Source organism: Homo sapiens, chromosome 4, assembly GCF_000001405.40.
Source record: "Homo sapiens chromosome 4, GRCh38.p14 Primary Assembly".
NCBI lineage: Eukaryota > Metazoa > Chordata > Mammalia > Primates > Hominidae > Homo > Homo sapiens.
Window position 1 is genome coordinate 146,354,155 of NC_000004.12, and position 18,483 is coordinate 146,372,637.

The 18,483-nt window shown below is 35.6% G+C and overlaps 1 protein-coding gene across 11 annotated transcripts in view, besides 1 other annotated feature; it reads right to left on the reverse strand.

Annotated features, from left to right (window-relative positions):
* The window catches only part of SLC10A7 (solute carrier family 10 member 7), a 267,960-nt gene that overhangs the window by 100,174 nt on the left and 149,303 nt on the right, over nucleotides 1-18,483 (reverse strand). The gene's annotated exons all lie outside the window — the stretch shown is intronic.
* Nucleotides 13,922-14,423: an enhancer, noted in NCBI's record as "NANOG hESC enhancer chr4:147289228-147289729 (GRCh37/hg19 assembly coordinates)". NCBI's record gives its function as "activates a minimal SCP1, AML or CMV promoter by ChIP-STARR-seq in primed H9 embryonic stem cells {active_cell/tissue: H9 hESC(primed)}" and the evidence as "EXISTENCE:reporter gene assay evidence [ECO:0000049][PMID:30033119]".

An 18,483-nucleotide genomic window follows, 5' to 3' on the forward strand; every position in this document is an offset into this window, starting at 1 on the left:
AAATCTCCTTAAGCTGATAAGCAACTTCAGCAAAGTCTCAGGATACAAAATCAATGTACAAAAATCACAAGCATTCTTATACACCAACAACAGACAAACAGAGAGCCAAATCATGAGTGAACTCCCATTCACAATTGCTTCAAACAGAATAAAATAACTAGGAATCCAACTTACAAGGGATGTGAAGGACCTCTTCAAGGAGAATTACAAACCACTGCTCAAGGAAATAAAAGAGGACACAAACAAATGGAAGAACATTCCATGCTAATGGGTAGGAAGAATCAATATCGTGAAAATGGCCATATTGCCCAAGGTAATTTACAGATTCAATGCCATCCCCATCAAGCTACCAATGACTTTCTTCACAGAATTGGAAAAAACTACTTTAAAGTTCATATGGAACCAAAAAAGAGCCCGCATCGCCAAGTCAATCCTAAGCCAAAAGAACAAAGCTGGAGGCATCACACTACCTGACTTCAAACTATACTACAAGGCTACAGTAACCAAAACAGCATGGTACTGTACCAAAACAGAGATATAGATCAATGGAACAGAACAGAGCCCTCAGAAATAATGCCGCATATCTACAACTATCTGATCTTTGACAAACCTGAGAAAAACAAGCAATGGGGAAAGGATTCCCTATTTAATAAATGGTGCTGGGAAAACTGCCTAGCCATATGTAGAAAGCTGAAACTGGATCCCTTCCTTACACCTTATACAAAAATCAATTCAAGATGGATTAAAGATTTAAACGTTAGACCTAAAACCATAAAAACCCTAGAAGAAAACCTAGGCATTACCATTCAGGACATAGGCGTGGGCAAGGACTTCATGTCCAAAACACCAAAAGCAATGGCAACAAAAGCCAAAATTGACAAATGGGATCTAATTAAACTAAAGAGCTTCTGCAAAGCAAAAGAAACTACCATCAGAGTGAACAGGCAACCTACAACATGGGAGAAAATTTTCGCAACCTACTCATCTGACAAAGGGCTAATATCCAGAATCTACAATGAACTCAAACAAATTTACAAGAAAAAAACAATCAACCCCATCAAAAAGTGGGCAAAGGACATGAACAGACACTTCTCAAAAGAAGACATTTATGCAGCCAAAAAATACATGGAAAAATGCTCATCATCACTGGCCATCAGAGAAATGCAAATCAAAACCACTATGAGATATCATCTCACACCAGTTAGAATGGCAATCATTAAAAAGTCAGGAAACAACAGGTACTGGAGAGGATGTGGAGAAATAGGAACACGTTTACACTGTTGGTGGGACTGTAAACTAGTTCAACCATTGTGGAAGTCAGTGTGGCGATTCCTCAGGGATCTAGAACTAGAAATACCATTTGACCCAGCCATCCCATTACTGGGTATATACCCAAATGACTATAAATCATGCTGCTATAAAGACACATGCACACGTATGTTTATTGTGGCATTATTCACAATAGCAAAGACTTGGAACCAACGCAAATGTCTAACAATGATAGACTGGATTAAGAAAATGTGGCACATATACACCATGGAATACCATGCAGCCATAAAAAATGATGAGTTCATGTCCTTTGTAGGGACATGGATGAAATTGGAAACCATCATTCTCAGTAAACTATCGCAAGAACAAAAAACCAAACACCGCATATTCTCACTCATAGGTAGGAATTGAACAATGAGATCACATGGACACAGGAAGGGGAATATCACACTCTGGGGACTGTGGTGGGGTGGGGGGAGGGGGGAGGGATAGCACTGGGAGACATACCTAATGCTAGATGACGCGTTAGTGGGTGCAGCGCACCAGCATGGCACATGTATACATATGTAACTAACCTGCACAATGTGCACATGTACCCTAAAACTTAAAGTATAATAAAAAAAAAAAAATATATATATATATATACATATATATAGTCTTTTAAAAAGAAAAAGCTACAATTCGACAACTATTATTATTTGATTTATTGACTTTCATATTTTGGCTCTCATGCATACTTACTTAAAGATTTTGTAAATTCAGGGAGAAACTGAGTTGAGACCATTTAAAAATCTTTTACTATGAGTTTATAACTTTACATTTATTACGCACATGAAATGTGAAGAAAAATTTCAGTTTCCTGTTTACTATGTGAAAGGTGTTTTACATAATCACTTAATCCTTAATCCAATATATTACTAACTATTGTTCCAAAAGGTAAATAACTTGTCCAAGGGTCATATGACTACTGAGAGATCCTCGTGTAACTTTGTCACTCAATTGCATTTGACAGTTTCCTTCCTGAAACACTTAGTTCATTTGATTCTGGAATATTGCATTCTACTCTTTTACCTTCTTCCCCTAGATCTTCCTCCCTCACTTACTCAAGTCTCTTATAAGGCTTCCACAACTGTCCCATCTACAACAGACAGACACACACACACACACACTCCCCATCTTCTCTCCTCTACTTCTTCTTGCTGTTATCTTGCTTTATTTTTGTTCACACCACTTGATATTATACTTATTTGCTTTTGTCTATTTACACAAGTGTTCTCTTACCTCTATCCCCCAACTAAGCTCTACAAGGGATTTTTTTTTGTCTTCTTCCCCCTGCATTCTCAATGTCTACAACAGTGCTTGGCACAAAACAAGCCTTCAATAAACTTGTTGAATCAACAAATGGCTAGAAGTTGTGGAGCTGGAGTTTTAATCCAGGTCTTACTAACTCTAGTCCTATGCTTAATTTATAATACTATACCTGGATTAATTTCAAATACAGTATACCTTTATTGAAAGTTTCCAAGGAATAAACTTGCAAGGAAACAACACATCTTTATAATGAATCCTATAGCCCTATTCCTCTCTGCTCTACCCAAAGCCTGTAAGTAAAGAAAGCTGCTTTGCTCAATGAAAGAGGAGGAGAGGTACGTCACCCATGAAGAAAAAAGAAAGAAACTAACACTTGTTAGGCATTTACTTTGTTCTGAGTAGTATATGTAACATACGTATGTATGTGCATGTGTACATTTGCACATGTATATTTCTGTATGTGCATAATTCATTTCTATTTTATTTTCATGGCAATAATGTAAAGCAGGTAACATTTATTCCTTATTTTTAAGTGGAAACAAGAGACTTACAGAGTTACCAGGAAGTTCCAATAATTTTTGCACACGGGAATGTGTGTGTATATATGTGCATGATAAAATCTATATTTCCCAATCTTCATTTTCCAGCTAAAATATTTTTGAGTGGAATACTTAAGGAACAAAAAAACCCTGCAGCACTTAATACTACAGAAAGCTTCTTTCCATTCAGGAATGCCTCAAGCAACTGGCAAAAAAGGCAAAGCAAATAAAATGATTACTTCCCTTTCTAGGCAGGAACTACTCATCGTCTACCTTAAAACAACAACCATGCTCTACCATAAGTCCGTTATCTACTTTGAAGCAATACGTGAAAGGTAGAAGTAAGATTGGTAAGCGCAACTTATTTGATGAGAGCTATCATTAAACTATGGAAATTCAATTCCCTCTCCACGGTTGTTTCTACCCAAGGTAAGTGAGGGGAGCTTCAGAGAATCACTTGAAGAATATGTCCCCTGGAATTTGGGGAAAAAGGAAAGAGTACCCGGAAGTGAGGCATGATTCCCTCCAGGAGAGTCTTGAAGCTGAGAGGCTGGAAGGGGAGAAGAGCTGCAAGTTCTTCCTTGGCCAGGCAAAGATGTGGCAGTTTTCCTACAGGTCAAGTAACCCGAAAAAGAGAAAAGGACTTGAGTCATCCTGACAGAACTCCCATTAGAGAGGAGATCAATAGGAGTCAAGAGCTGTGACTAGAGTTCTTAGAGGATCATTGTTCATGCCTAATATTGTATTAGGATGCTCCTAATGAAGCACGATCACTGAAAAACCCACAGAAGCACCCCCACAAAAAAAAAAAAAGAGCTAGCTTTTGAAGATATGCCACACTCAGAGGACATCAAAGATAGATTACAACTCGAGACACATGACACTTTTCTAATTCTTCTCTAATCCCTCTTTCCCCCATGTATCTGATTCTACATGGGACAAAATAGTGCTACAAGAATGGGGAGGAGGTAGACCAAGGATGAGGGAAGAAACTTATAATTCTCCTTTCCCTGCTGCAGATTATTGATTGTGAGTTGATGTGGGAGGGAAAGAAAGAGGAAAAACTTTTAGCTGGATTAGAAACTGAAGTTTTGGCATTAGACTAGACTAGGCTTTTTTGTTTATTGAAGTATAATATAGTATAAAATTTTACATATATGTCTTATACATACATACAAATACCTGGGTAACCATCACCCAAATCCAAATATAAAACATTTTCTAGTACTTCAGGAAAATCTCTCCAAGTCAATACTCACTTTGCCAAAGGTACCATTATTTGGACTTTTGTCACCACAGGTTAATTTTTCTTATTTGAGTTTCATATACATGAAATCATGCATAAGAACTCTCTTAATGCCTGCCTTCTTTTACTTAGTATTATTAATATATCTGTGATAGTTAATCATATTTTTGTGTGGAGCAGTAGCTCAGCTTTTCCATTCATATTTTGTTGTAATGTATGAATATCCCACGATTTATTTATCCATTCTCCTGATGATGGACATTTGAATTTTTTTTTCATTTTGGTTTACACACATAAAAAAGTTGCTAAAAACATTCCTGAAGATGTCTTTTGATGAACATTTGCATTCATTCTGTTGGATACAACACCTGAGAGTAGAACTCCTAAGTGATAGGGTAGGCATATGTTTAACATTAGTAGATGCAGCCAAACAATTTCCCAAAGTACTTGAACCATTTACCATTCACTCCTACCAGCAATGTATTAGAATTCCAGTTACTAGACATCTGCTTTAATACTTGTTAGTGACAATCTTCTAAAAGTTTAGTCATTTTGATACATGTGTGGCAGTCTTATTGTGGCTTTAATTTGCATTTTCCTGGTGACTTATGGTGTTGAGCCCCTTTTAATATGCTTATTGGAGATTTGGATATTATCCATTATGAAGTACCTATTCAAATCCTTGCCCACTTTTTATTGTGTCACCTATTTTTATTGATTTGTAAGAGTTATTTACATAGTTTGGGTAGAAGTGCTTGCTGGATATCTGACAAAGGATGTGTGTATTCTAAATAACTTCTTGGATTGTATGGCTTGCCTTTTATTCTCTTAATGGTGGCTTTCAATAAATAGATGTTTTTAATTTTAATGAAATCCAATTAATCAATCTTTTCATATATAGTTACGTTTTTGTGACTTAAGATGTTCACCTATGTTTTTTTCTAGTGTACTGAATTTTTTATTACCTGAAAATGACTGGAAAAACTATGGGTTTATTCTAATATTTTATCAAAGAAGGAGAAGAAATGGATTCACAGAGGAAGTGTAAAGGGGTGTTAAGGGGTGACAGTAATATTGCTTTCTGCTCATACCCAACAGCATCTAGATCATTTAATAAATCTTATATTTGGCTTGACTATGAAGATTAATTTGAGAAGTAAGTATATCATGCCTTTTAAAAAAGTGAACAATCCTCCTAGTGAGTATGTGAGGCACTCCTGATTTAACAGCTAAATTGATTATAGATATGACATAATCAGAAGAATTTCCATTATTGAATATATATTGAGTATCCTATGGTAATCCATCCAATGATGTACTTCTATTATAATTTGATTTCCTTAGACATGGTATTTGCTATTAGAGTTTGTGTATCTTGGTGGAAAGATGCTGGTCAGAAAGTTAGAAGTGTTTCCAGTCCCACTCTGCACTGACTACCTAGTAATGACTCATCCACAGCCACAGAGCTGAATTTTCACAACTGTACATTACCAAGTTGGATTTGGATTTCTAACCTGTTCTTCTGTACCCACCTAATAGTCCAAAACCAGGAACCTAGGCATCATCCTTAACTCCTCTCCCTCTCACCTGCTACATCTAATCAACTTACCAAAGACTCTCTATCTCTTAAATAAATTTTGAATATATATTTGCTTCTCCTTATTCTCACTGCCATTACCTTACTCTAAGCCACTGTTGTTTTTCCTCTGAATCAGTGTACCAACTTCCTAGTCTCCAAACTCCAGTCTAGCCCTGCTCCAATCCACTTTTCCACCTCCAGCCAGAATGGGCCTTCTAAGTTAATAATAGCTAGGTTTTCAGCAACGCTTACTCTGTGCTTGATTCTTTATAAGCTTGATCACATTTAATATTAAAAATACCCTGAGAAGAAGGCACTATATTCCTCTTTCCTTTCTTCTTCTTCTTTTTTTTAATCTCTGAGACAGGGTCTTGCTTTGTTGCCCAGGCTGGAGTATAGTGGCACAATCATAGCTCACTGCAACCTCAAACTCCTGGGCTCAAAATATCCTACTGCCTCAGCCTTCTGAGTAGCTGGAAACACAGGCAGGCAACACCACACCTGGCTTTTTGTTTGTTTGTTTGTTTGTTTTTTTGTTAGTAGAGACAAGGTCTTGCTACATTACCCAGGTTGGTTGCAAACTTCTTAGCTCAAGTAGTCCTCTCTCCTCAGACTCCCAAAATGCTGGGATTACAGGCATGAGCCACCATGCCCAGCCTCTCTTTCTTTTTAAATCAAGTCACTGAAGCTTGAAGAGGAAGAGTACTTTCCCAAGTTCGTTTAGCAAGAAAGAAGTAAACTAGGATTCAAAGCCTGGAAGTTGGTCTTCAGAGCTTAGGAGTCAACAAATATACAGATCTGATTAGGTCACCCCCCGGCTCACCTATAAGTTCAATGAACTTATTCTCTGGGCTGGGCCTCTGTGCATGCTGTTCCCTCTACTAGGAACATGTATTTTCTGCTCTCTACTCCCTACAACCCCTTTCCTCATCTTTCAGGTATCAGCACTCCTGAGGTCCCTAGAATGGATTAAAGTCTTTAACATATACTCCCATAGTTCCCTATCTTCTCCTATCATAGCATTTATCACATTATATTTTAATAATTGTCTTCTCCACTAGATGAAAACTCTGAGGAAGCAGGGCAATCTATCTTGCTTCTTATTGTTCTGTGGCACTCATATAATGCCTAATTTGTGGTATGCACTCAACAAATATTACTTAAAGTTAAAAATGTTGGCAAAATATTTTGTGATTTATTGTTCAATGAGAAATATAACAGATAATCAAAATGCAAAATAAACCATCAAATAAAAATTATATTCTTTCACAATATAGCTTCTAAACAGATCATCAAGAAGGTTGTAAAGACATGTAGAAAGTGACCGACTTGCCTGGTAATCCAGGAAATTCTCCCTTATTTCCACAAGTCTGCCAGGGTCATTTATCTAGAAGGCTGCAACAGTTGCAGTATTGCTGGGCTTATGGCACCCCCCTAGTGCTGAAATGGCTGCAGTGAGCACAGACACAGGTTGCAAAACTCCTTTGAATTCCTGGAAAGCCCTCTCAAGAAGGATGAGTACAAACAGGTCCAGACTGTGAAGAATGGAATAAATACCTAAATCTTTAATGCTCAGACATGGATAAATGTCCAAAAGCATCAGAAACATCCAGGAAAACATGACATCAACAAACAGACTAAATAAGGCACCAGTGACCAATTCTGGAGTGATGGAGATATGTGACCTCTCAGACATGGAATTTAAAACAGCTGTCTTCAGGAAGCTCAATGAATTCAACATAACACCTGAGAAGAAATTCAGAATTCTGTTAGAGAAATTTAACAAAGAGATTGACATTCTTTTAAAAATCAAGCAAAAATTCTGGAGCTGAAAAATTTGATTGACAAACCGAAAAATGTATCAGTCTCTCAACAGCAGAATTGATCCAGCAGAAGCAAGAATTAGTGAGCTTGAAGACAGGTATATAAAAATACACAGCCAGAAAAGGAAAAATAAAAAAGAATAAAAAAGAATGAAGTATGCCTACAAGACATAGAAAATAGCCTCAAAAGGGCAAATCAAATCTAAGAGTTATCGGCCTTAAGAGGCTGTAGAGAAAGAAATCAGGGTAGAATGTTTATTCAAAGAAATAATAATAAAGAACTTTCCAATTCTAGAGAGAAATATTAATATCCAGGTAGAAGAAGGTCAAAGAACACCAAGCAGATTGACCCTAAATAAGACTACTCCAAGACATATAATAATCCAACTCTCAAAGGTCAAGGAAAAAGAAAGGATGCTAAAAACAGCAAGAGAAAAGAGGCAAATAACATATAAATGATCCCTGATATGTCTGGCAGCAGACTTCTCCATGAAAACGTTACAGGCCAGGAGGGAGTGGGATGACATATTCAAAATGCTGAAGGAAAAAATATTTCAACCTGTAATACTATATACAGCAAAATTATCTTTCAAACATGAAGAACAAATAATGTTGTAAATGTAAGTACACAAATACAGAATACTCTAATAATGTAAACCACTCATATCTTCAGTAGAATGAATATACAAATCTATTAAAAATAATAGATTAAATCTAATAAAAATAATAACTACAACAATTTGATAATAGACAATATAATAAGATATAGAGACAACAAAAAGTCAAAATGTGAAATGAATGAATTTAAAGCATGAGATTTTTAGTTTTTTCCTTGCGTGTTTTTTTCTTTGTGATTAAAGTTTTCATCGTTTTAAAATAATTGGTTATAAGATGTTATTTGCAAGCCTCATGCTAAACACAAAGCAAAAATCTATAACACAGACACAAAAAGTAAAAAGCAAGAAATTAAAAGATACTGTGAGAGAAAAATTACTTATAAACAAAAGAAAACAGAAAGAAAATAAAAAAGACAGGACCAACAAAACTACCAGAAAACACATAATAAAAAAAGCAGTAGTAAGTGCTTACCTATAAATAATAACACTGAATGTAAACGGACCAAATTCTCCAATCAAAAGACAAAGTGGCTAAGTAGATTTTTTAAAACAAGACCCAACAATATGCTGCCTACAAAAAACTCAATTCACCTATAAAAACACACATAGACTGAAAATGAAGGGATGGAAAAAGATATTCTATGCAAATGTAAATGAATAAAGAGCAGGAGTAACTATACTTTTATCAGTTAAACAGATTTCAAGATAAAAATGGTAGAAAGAGACAAAGAAGGTCATTATATAAGGATAAAGGAGTCAATTCAGCAAGAGAATACAGCAATTGTCTATGTATATGCACTCAATGCAGCATCCAGTTATATTAAGCAAATATTATTAGAGCTAAAGAGAGAGAGAGACCCAATACAATAATAGCTGGTGACTTCAACACCCTACTTTCAGCAGTGAACACATCATCCAGACAGAAATCCAACAAAGAAATATCAATCTGCACTATAGACCAAATGGACCTAATAGACATCTACAGAACATTTCATTCAACAGCCGCAGAACATACCTTCTTCTCCTCAGCAATGGAACATTTTGAAGAATAGACCATGTGGTAGGCCACAAACAAATCTCAAACAATTTAAAAAAATGAAATCATATGAATTATCTTTTCTGACCACAATGGAATAAAACTAGAAATGAATAAAAAGAGGAACTTGGAAACTAGACAAACACATGGAAAGTAAACAATATGCTCCCGAACAACCACTGGGTCAATGAAGAAATTAAGAAGGAAACTGAAAAATTTCTTGAAACAAATGAAAATGAAAACACAACATACCAGTACCTGTGACATACAACAAAAGCACCACTAAGAGGGAAGTTTATAGCAATAAACACCTAAATCAAACAAGGAGAAAAACTTCAAATAAATAACCTAACAATGAATCGTAAAGAACTAAAAAAGCAAGAGCACACCAAACACAAAATTAATAGAGGAAAAGAAAAGATAAAGATCAAAGCAGAAACAAATAAAATAGAGACTAAAAAGTACAAAAGATCAACAAAACAAAAAGTTGGTTCTTTTGAGAAGATAAACAAAATTAACAAAACCTTTAGCTAAACTAAGAAAAAAAGAGAGAAGACCAAAATAAATAAGAGACAAAAAGGTTACATTACCACTGAAATCACAGAAATCTGAAGGATTATTAGAGATATTACAAGCAACTCTATGCCAATAAATTGGAAAACCTAGAAGAAATGGATTAATTCCTGGATACATACAACCTACCAAGATTAAACCATGAAGAAATAAAAAACCTGAATAGACCAAACACAAAGAATGAGATCAAAGCTGTAAGACAATGTCTCCCATCACAGAAAAGCTCAGGACCTGATGACTTCACTGATGAATTTTATCAAACATGAAAAGAACTAAGACCCATCCTACTCAAACTATTCCGAAAAATTGAGGAGGAAGAATAGATTTGCAGAATATGGATAGAAATGGAAGACATTATGATAAGTGAAATAAGCCAAGTGCAGAACAACAAATGTTGCATGTTTTCTGACTCATGTTGGGGCTATAAAAAATTGAATTCATGGAGATAGCAGAGTGATGGTTCCCAGAGGCAGGAAAAGCAGTGAAGAGGAAGGAATAAAGAGGGATTGGTTAACAGGTGCAAAAATACAGTTATCTTATTTCTTCTAAGACCTAGCGTTCAGTAGCACAATAGGGCAACTATAGCTAGAAATAATTTATTGTATATTTCAAAATAACTAAAAGAGTAAAATTGGGATGTTCCTAACACAAAGCAATGAAAAATACTTGGAATGATGGGTATCCCAATTACCCTGATTTGATCATTACACATTGTATGCTTGTAAAAAAAAATCATATGTACCCCATAAATATATACAACCACTACATATCTATAAAAGTTAAAAATAAAAAAATTTACCAATACACAGAAGCCCCTTCCATTTCCTTTTTAATGCTGCTCTCATCAGAGAGTATCTAGTGAGACAGACCACCCAAAAAGCAGACTGCCAATCCTGAACAGCAATTTAAATCATGAGGTCCATGAACTGATCAAAGTATCAAAGAAATCTGAAATTCTACTGCTGATTATTATATGTTATATATTATGACCACATAAGACTCAGTAAGTATAGAAAATACAGAGTTGTACAAAAAAGTTATTGTTTATATTAATTAAATCTTTTGTACTCCTATAAGGCACAAAGCAAAACACCACCTTTTATTTATATAAACACTGAATATAATTAGTAATACTACAAATATTTGCTTTCTTTTTGTCAAGTATCTATATTTGCATTTGCATTTAAAATTTTTATCTGGATACTTAACTTTCTAAGATTCAGTAAAAATCACATAGATACTACATCAGAGTATTATTTTAGTACAGCATGGTTGATAGTAGCTGACTTTATGACTGCACTGTACATTAAAGTTTACCTCTACTTAAAGCACAGTTAACTGCAGTTTTGGCATTAAATAATTAAATTCAGGCTTAGAGGTTTAATTAGTTAGAATTGTCTTACTGTTAATAAACAATGCTTCAATATTACTACACTTAATGGTAAAGAAAGGGATTGATGTTTACCAAGTTAATACTTGAAAGTTCTGCTTAGGCTTTATAAGATAGACAAGTATGTATTTACTGTTCCTCAATATTTAGCAATTTTACTTAAATGAAGCAATGTAGTAGGTACTCAAATACTGGAGACAAACAGGTCTATTTGAGTCTTGGATTATTTTCTACTAGCCAAGAGGACTTGGACAAGTTACTTAATGTCCTTTGTCCTCTTCAGCAGGGGTCCCCAAGCCCTGGGCAGTGGACCAACCAGTCTGTGGCCTGTTAGGAACCCGGCCGCACTGCAGGAGGTGAGTGGTAGGCCAGTGAGCATTACTGCCTGAGCTCCGCCTCCTGTTTTATCAGCTGCAGCATTACATTCTCATAGGAGCACAAACCCTCTTGTGAACTGCACATGTGAGAGATCTAGGTTGTGTGCTCCTTATGAGAATCTAATGCCTGATGATCTGAGGTAAAACAGTTTCATCTCAAAACCCATCTGCATTCCCTACCCACCAGCCTCACCCCATGGAAAAATTAGCTTCTACAAAACCGGTCTAACTGGTGCCAAAAAGGTTGGGAACCACTGCTCTTCAGTAAAAGTCAGATAATACAGTTTTACATCTCTTATCCAAAAATCCTGAGGCCAGATGGGTTTCAAATTTTTCTGATTTTTTAAAAGGTATATGTATTATGTAACCATCCCAGTGGGATCTGAGGAAGCACTCCATAATCAAACACCTTACATTCTGTAGCAGGACATATTAATATTCATACTTAATGAGACAAATACATAATAAAAACAGCCTTATGTCATTTCAGGTCAGATATTGCCCTGACCCAAACACTTGCAGTTTTTCTCTAGTCTTCCAGATTTTTTCAGTTTTTGAATGTGGAAAGGAGTAGAAGACCTGTCATGTCTACTTCTTGGGGTTGCTGTAAATATCAAATGATAAAATGCATGTGGAGTACACAGCCATACTAAGCCATACTTAGCTGCCAATGTTTTCTTGGTCATCGACATTATTATACTTTTGAAAGACTAGAAAATACATAAAGTTGTTAAAAGTGATGGCTGCTCACTGATGAAATTCTAAGTAAATTTTATCTTGTCTATAATTTCTATATTTTATAAATTTGATGTAATAGACATTTACTATTTTTATAATAAAACAGCTTTATTGAACTTAAAAAAGTATTTATTTTCCCTTCATTTGGAAATATTTACTTTAAGTCACTGCAGCTCCTTACAGATCCTTTTCTTGGTCTTGCCTTTTCCTTTATCACACAAACAAAAATTATTCTGAGTTTTCTGCTTTGAAAATGTTCTTGGGTTATACACTCATTAGGGGCAAAGAAACTTCTATTCCAATTCAGATTTTTTTTTCTTCTGCCCAAGCAATAAGCAAGTTTTTTGTTTTTTTGTTTTTTTTTGTTTTTGTTTTTGCCATTCATCATGGTTTGGCTCATCTACAAGGCATTTCTTCAGCTCACAAGTTACTAGAATAATGTATAGATTTGTGAGCTGTTAGATATCATAACAGTAAGATATCAAGATGAATACCAAAATTCTCACATTAGTTCTTCTAACACAGATAGTCTCTGCTTTCAAGTAGTATGTTAAAATTGTAACTAAAACCCAGAGCCCAAAACAACAAAAGGAAACAAAAAAATCTCTGTTGAGGCTTTACCTATTATTGTCCAGTGCAGTGCTGTCCAATAGAACTTTCTGTAATGACATGTTCTATTATATTCAGTGTTCCATACAAAAGCCACTAGCCACATGTAGCTATTAAGCACTTGAAAGGTGGCTAGTGCAACTAAGGAATGAAATTCTAAATTTTATTTAATTTTTTAATTAATTTAAATTTAAATTTAATTAGCCACATGTGGCTACTTATAAATGTATTAGAGAGTATAGGTTCACAAAACCCCAATTGTTTATGCAGTCCTTTTCAATGGAGACACTGAATGCCAGTTCTATTTTTAAACTATCTGTAATGTTTTCCATGTAGTGAAATTTAAGAGGTCTTTTCTAACAACCTTGCTTGAAAAGAATCATTTAAAATATAAATTGTGAGATCTCCCGAGAATTAAAGTTTCTGCTTCATTTTTCTATGTGTTGGGTATTGACTTAAGAACTCATTGCTTTATCCAACATTTGTGCTTCTGTTTATTCAGTAGTTATTTATACTCTTCTACCAACCCTACCTTACCAGTATGTCTAATAAATAAATATTCACAAAGTGACTTCAGGCAAACATTAAAAACAAAACAAACAACAATAAAACAATGAATAGTTGATAACAAATGAGCCTTCAATCAAAGAACAATAGCAAGTGACAAAGGCAATTTTAAAACTATCACAGTCAAAAACACTCCTTTAAATTCCACCTCAGGACACTGACCCTCTTGCCCAGTCCTAAAAACTTTCCTTAAGTTTTGGAACAATCCCGAAAGCTCTGTTTCAGCATTCATTATAATGCAGCTCAGAATTAACACTGCCAGGCTCCTTTCTAATCAATTATGCATTCAGATGTCCAGCATTTCTTTGGGGCCCCTTACCTTGACACCAGAATTGTTTAAGAGATGACACATGCATGTGTACTTTTTAGAATAAAAAGAGGACTTTAAGCAGGTTTTAACACTAAATGAGAACAAGGGTAAGAGCAGAGAAATCAACCCTTTCAGTCAAGGTTGGGCTTCCGGCAAGCTGCAGGCAGTACACAGCATGAGAGTATCTGGCTGCAGAAAATGCCCATGTGTTGACAGCTGAATAAGAGTTTGAAAGCTTAACAGTACAAATGTTCTCTCCATGGTACTGTTACATAGCTTTTCTTAACCAGACTGCCAAAAATCTCCAAAGCTGTTGACAACTAATCACATGAAACTAATTCATTCTTGGCTTTGACATTAAATTAGCAAGTTATTATTTTTACGTAGGTAGTAACCCTGCACTGATTTGATTAACTGCAGAAAACAAAGGAACATTTTGTCCAGCCTAAAACTTTAAATAAGAAAGACTTAAAAACCATAAAAGAATACAACTTGTGCCCCTTCCTTCCTTCCTGAACAAACCCACTAGCTATTAAATTGGCTTTGAGTAACATATTTTTATCAAGTGTATATTCAATTTCTGTCACAAGTGAAAGTTCTCCAAATGGACAGTTTCCCTAGAAATATAAATATTCAAAATAACCTGGGAAAAAAATGATAATTCGTAAAAGACAACTCCTACTAGTTAGTGTCTAGAGTCACATGTAAAAACAAAGACACTATAGTCTATGAAAGTGCTTTTGGTATTAACATTCGGTGTTTAGGAACTTTAAAGTTTTCCTAGGCATCTCAGTTTTAAGTAAATAATGACAAATTATTTTGAGAGCTACCCAGCCTGTATTAATCTTCCTTTTTACTTGATGACCTGCAACACCTATCAGGGGCACTTATTCAGTTACTTACTAGTCTGTCTTCTATTATAACTTCCTATTCATGATTAGTATCACAAAAATGAGAAAGCAAGCCACTGAGGACAGGGGCTACATCTCTTGTATATTCCTCCAGCAGGTATAAGGAGTATGGACCCTGGAGCCAGACACCCTGGGTTCAAATCTTGCTCTACCACTTAACCATCTGTGTGACCCTAAACATGTTATCTAACCTCTCTGAGCCTCAGCTTCCTCAGTAAAACAGTGATAACAACAGCTTCTCCACAAGTTAGTGTTATTGTGAGGATTAAATAAATTTATACATATTAATTGCATTCTACAGAATCTGGCATTTAGTAAACACTCAGGAACTATTGGTTAACATTATCATTAGTCTTTTTGGACAAATATATGTAAACATAAAACATCTTCATTTTTAAATATCAGAGGTCAAGGCAAATAGAAGCAAACACGCTGATAAAACAGATGGATTATCTCCCTTTGAATATTTCTTTACTGGTGATATTGACTGGTAGATCCTACTATCATAAATGATGATTCAGTGAACTTTCACCTTGTGATTCCTTTAACATGAGGGATCTCCAGCAGACAAATGACGCTTACTCCTAAGGCCTGATTACTGATAGAACATAAAATGAGTAATGTTAGAGGCCTTATCTTTGTTATTACAGCGAATGCTTTATTCCATAACATAGCCTAGGAATCCCAATATTAACATATCTCATAGCAATCAATCATATTCAATTTTGATTTTCACATCTTTGATAAATATCAAATGATACTATAAGCATAAAACTTAATTGTACAGACTGCTGATGTGGACAATAATGCCATTAGTGGGCCCACAAAGCTAAATCAGCAGTATCACATCTGAAAATAAAAAACCTTGGAATTCTGCAGAAAAAGAGTTAACCTACCAATTTAAACAAGATAAAAACACTAAAAATAATTTGCAAAACAATTTTCTTTATGCATTCAATAAATATATGTCAGAATAAACAAAAATCACAGAAGCTGAAAGTAAAAAAAAATCAATTAAAATAAAGTCAGAGGGCATGATAGAGAATTATTTCTGGCAGTTATTTGATATAATATGGTTAATATTTCTAGTCAGTCAAATTAACACAATTTTGCCACTGTAGATTTACAGTCACAAAATGCATGCTCCCAAGAGGCTTGTTGTTCCAAGAATCAGAGTAACAAATTCCTTTCTGGCATAGAACAACTTGACCATTCTCTTCGGAACACAAGTAATAAAAAAAATCCTTCAGAAGAAAAATTAATTGACTATACATTCTCATTTGGCCATCTTTCTCTCCTTGATTTCTCCTTCAAAGTCCTTGGATAGAAACCAGTCCTTTTATCGCTCCATTTGTATCAAGAGATATGCTTTTCTTTCTTATCGGTCTGCCTATTCATATCATGTGTACTCTGCCATGTTATTGATTGAAAGAAGCTCAGGCAAGGTGGTGTCAGCTTATATTCCTAAAGGGAGTCCCCTGAGCAGATTGGGGAGGCACTTAAGGTCAAATCAGATTGTCTGTGTTCCTACGCTAAACTTCAGGGCACAAAGAAGAATATAGAGTTCTCAAGCATGCAAAACAAATACCGGCATTCAGCCTTTTTTAATCTTCCCCCACAGCGCTCAGAGGTACTTTTCATAGAAGAAAATTTGGCTCAGTAAAAATAAAAATTATTTTAAACCACTCTTCTTACTTTCTTTGTCTCTCTTATTTACGTTTCCGAAATGTCTACTCCAAAAAGAGAAATCATAAGGCAAATAAAGTCACTAAATCACATCATGACTAGAGAGTGAAGATCTAGTAATTACCCTCAGAGTTTAATTTGGCATTTTCCTGATGACTTGAGATATAATCTGTACACTATGAAGAAGGAGAAAGTAAAGTTAACCCCATTTGCAAAGTGTGTGCTTAGCAGCACCATAAAAATTCCCCAGATCTGGTTTATGGAAGAACCTCAGAATTGAGTCATCAAACACTTTTCAGAGCACGTATTATATGTACAGCACTTTTTCTAGAACTAGGGCTTCAAAGATAGATATGCTTCTTGCCCACAGGGAATTCACAACTCATTATCTTACAATGTGATATGTACTCTGATATGACAGAACCATGTGTCATGGCATAAAAATCTTGGGAGCTAGATAGATTAGGGTTCAAATCTGCTTTCACCAGATATCGGGGGTACCAGCAAAAGGCATCCACCTTCTTGTACTTCATTTTACTTGCATTATAACATAGACACAATGTTATTTACCTTACAGGGCGCCTGCCCTTGTTAGATGGTTAATAATTATTCGTTTGCTTGTTTGCTTTCTTCCTTGTATACAAAGTCAAGAACAATTAATCTCATCTAAAGGCAGTGAAGATGATGAGAGAGGGGGCCAAATAAATGGTAGAGTTGATGCTGGGCCTTGTGGAACAAGTAGGATTTTAGTAGAGAAGAATGAAAACCAAGGGATTCTTAGAAGGGTGGCATCATGAGAAAAGGAACGGAGTTCTAAAAAGTACGCGATGTGTTTAGAGAAAGCAGAACAAAGTGGCTAAGGACATAATTTCAGAGTTAGCCTGCCAGAGCTGGCATCATGGTTCTGCTGCCTCCTAGGAGTGACCTGGGGTGAATAAACTGCCTACCTGGTGCTTCTCTTCTTGTGTTTTGTCCACATAATAGTACTTACATCACAGCATGTATTGAGGATTAAATGGAGATTTTTAATATGTATAAAAACAGGGCCTCACTTGTAATAAGTATTATTGCTACTATTGTCAGAGCCATTATTAATAGAGACCTATAGACCTATTATTATTATTAGAGAAGTCCAGATGGTTGGGGATGGCTCAAGCATAAGGAAATGAAGTAAGTATGGGTTATCAGAATGGTATTTCTCATTCTACCATTTGACTCCCAGTCATCTTAGTATCCCGGAAGCAATGTTTTATGTCAAATGGGTGAATGGGTTACTTCTATCTGGATGTTCTCTGTCTCTTCCTATTACTAAATATATGCATCAGAATCCCTTAGGGAATCTGATAAAAATCAGGACTTCCTGGGCCTAAACCTAGAGACTCTTATTCATTTAAGGCAGAGCTGAGAAAACTGTTTTTTAGCACAGTTACAAAGCTGGCTGGGTGCAGTAGCTTTTGTCCATAATTCTAGCACTCTGGGAGGCTGAGGTGGGCAGATTGCTTGAGCTCAGGAGTTCAAGACCAGCCTGGGCAACATGGAGACACCCCATCTCTACAAAAAATACAAAAATCAGCTGGACATGGTGGCATACACCTTTAGTCCAAGCTACTCAGGAGGCTGAGGTGGCAGGAACACTTGAGCCTGGGTAGTCAAGGCTACAGTGAGCTGCAATTGCACCACTGAACTCCAGCCTGAGTGACAGAGGGAAACCCTGTTTCAAAAAAAAAAAAAAAAAAAATGCTTCCCAAGTGATTCTGATGAACAGCCCAATTTAAAGACCTTTGTTCTAGCCTTCTCAGAAGTCAGGTCAATATGTTTTACTCATATTGCCCACTAAGTAAAATAATACTTAGCTTATCTAATAATAACAGATTCATAAAATCACTAGCCTCCTTTCTATTT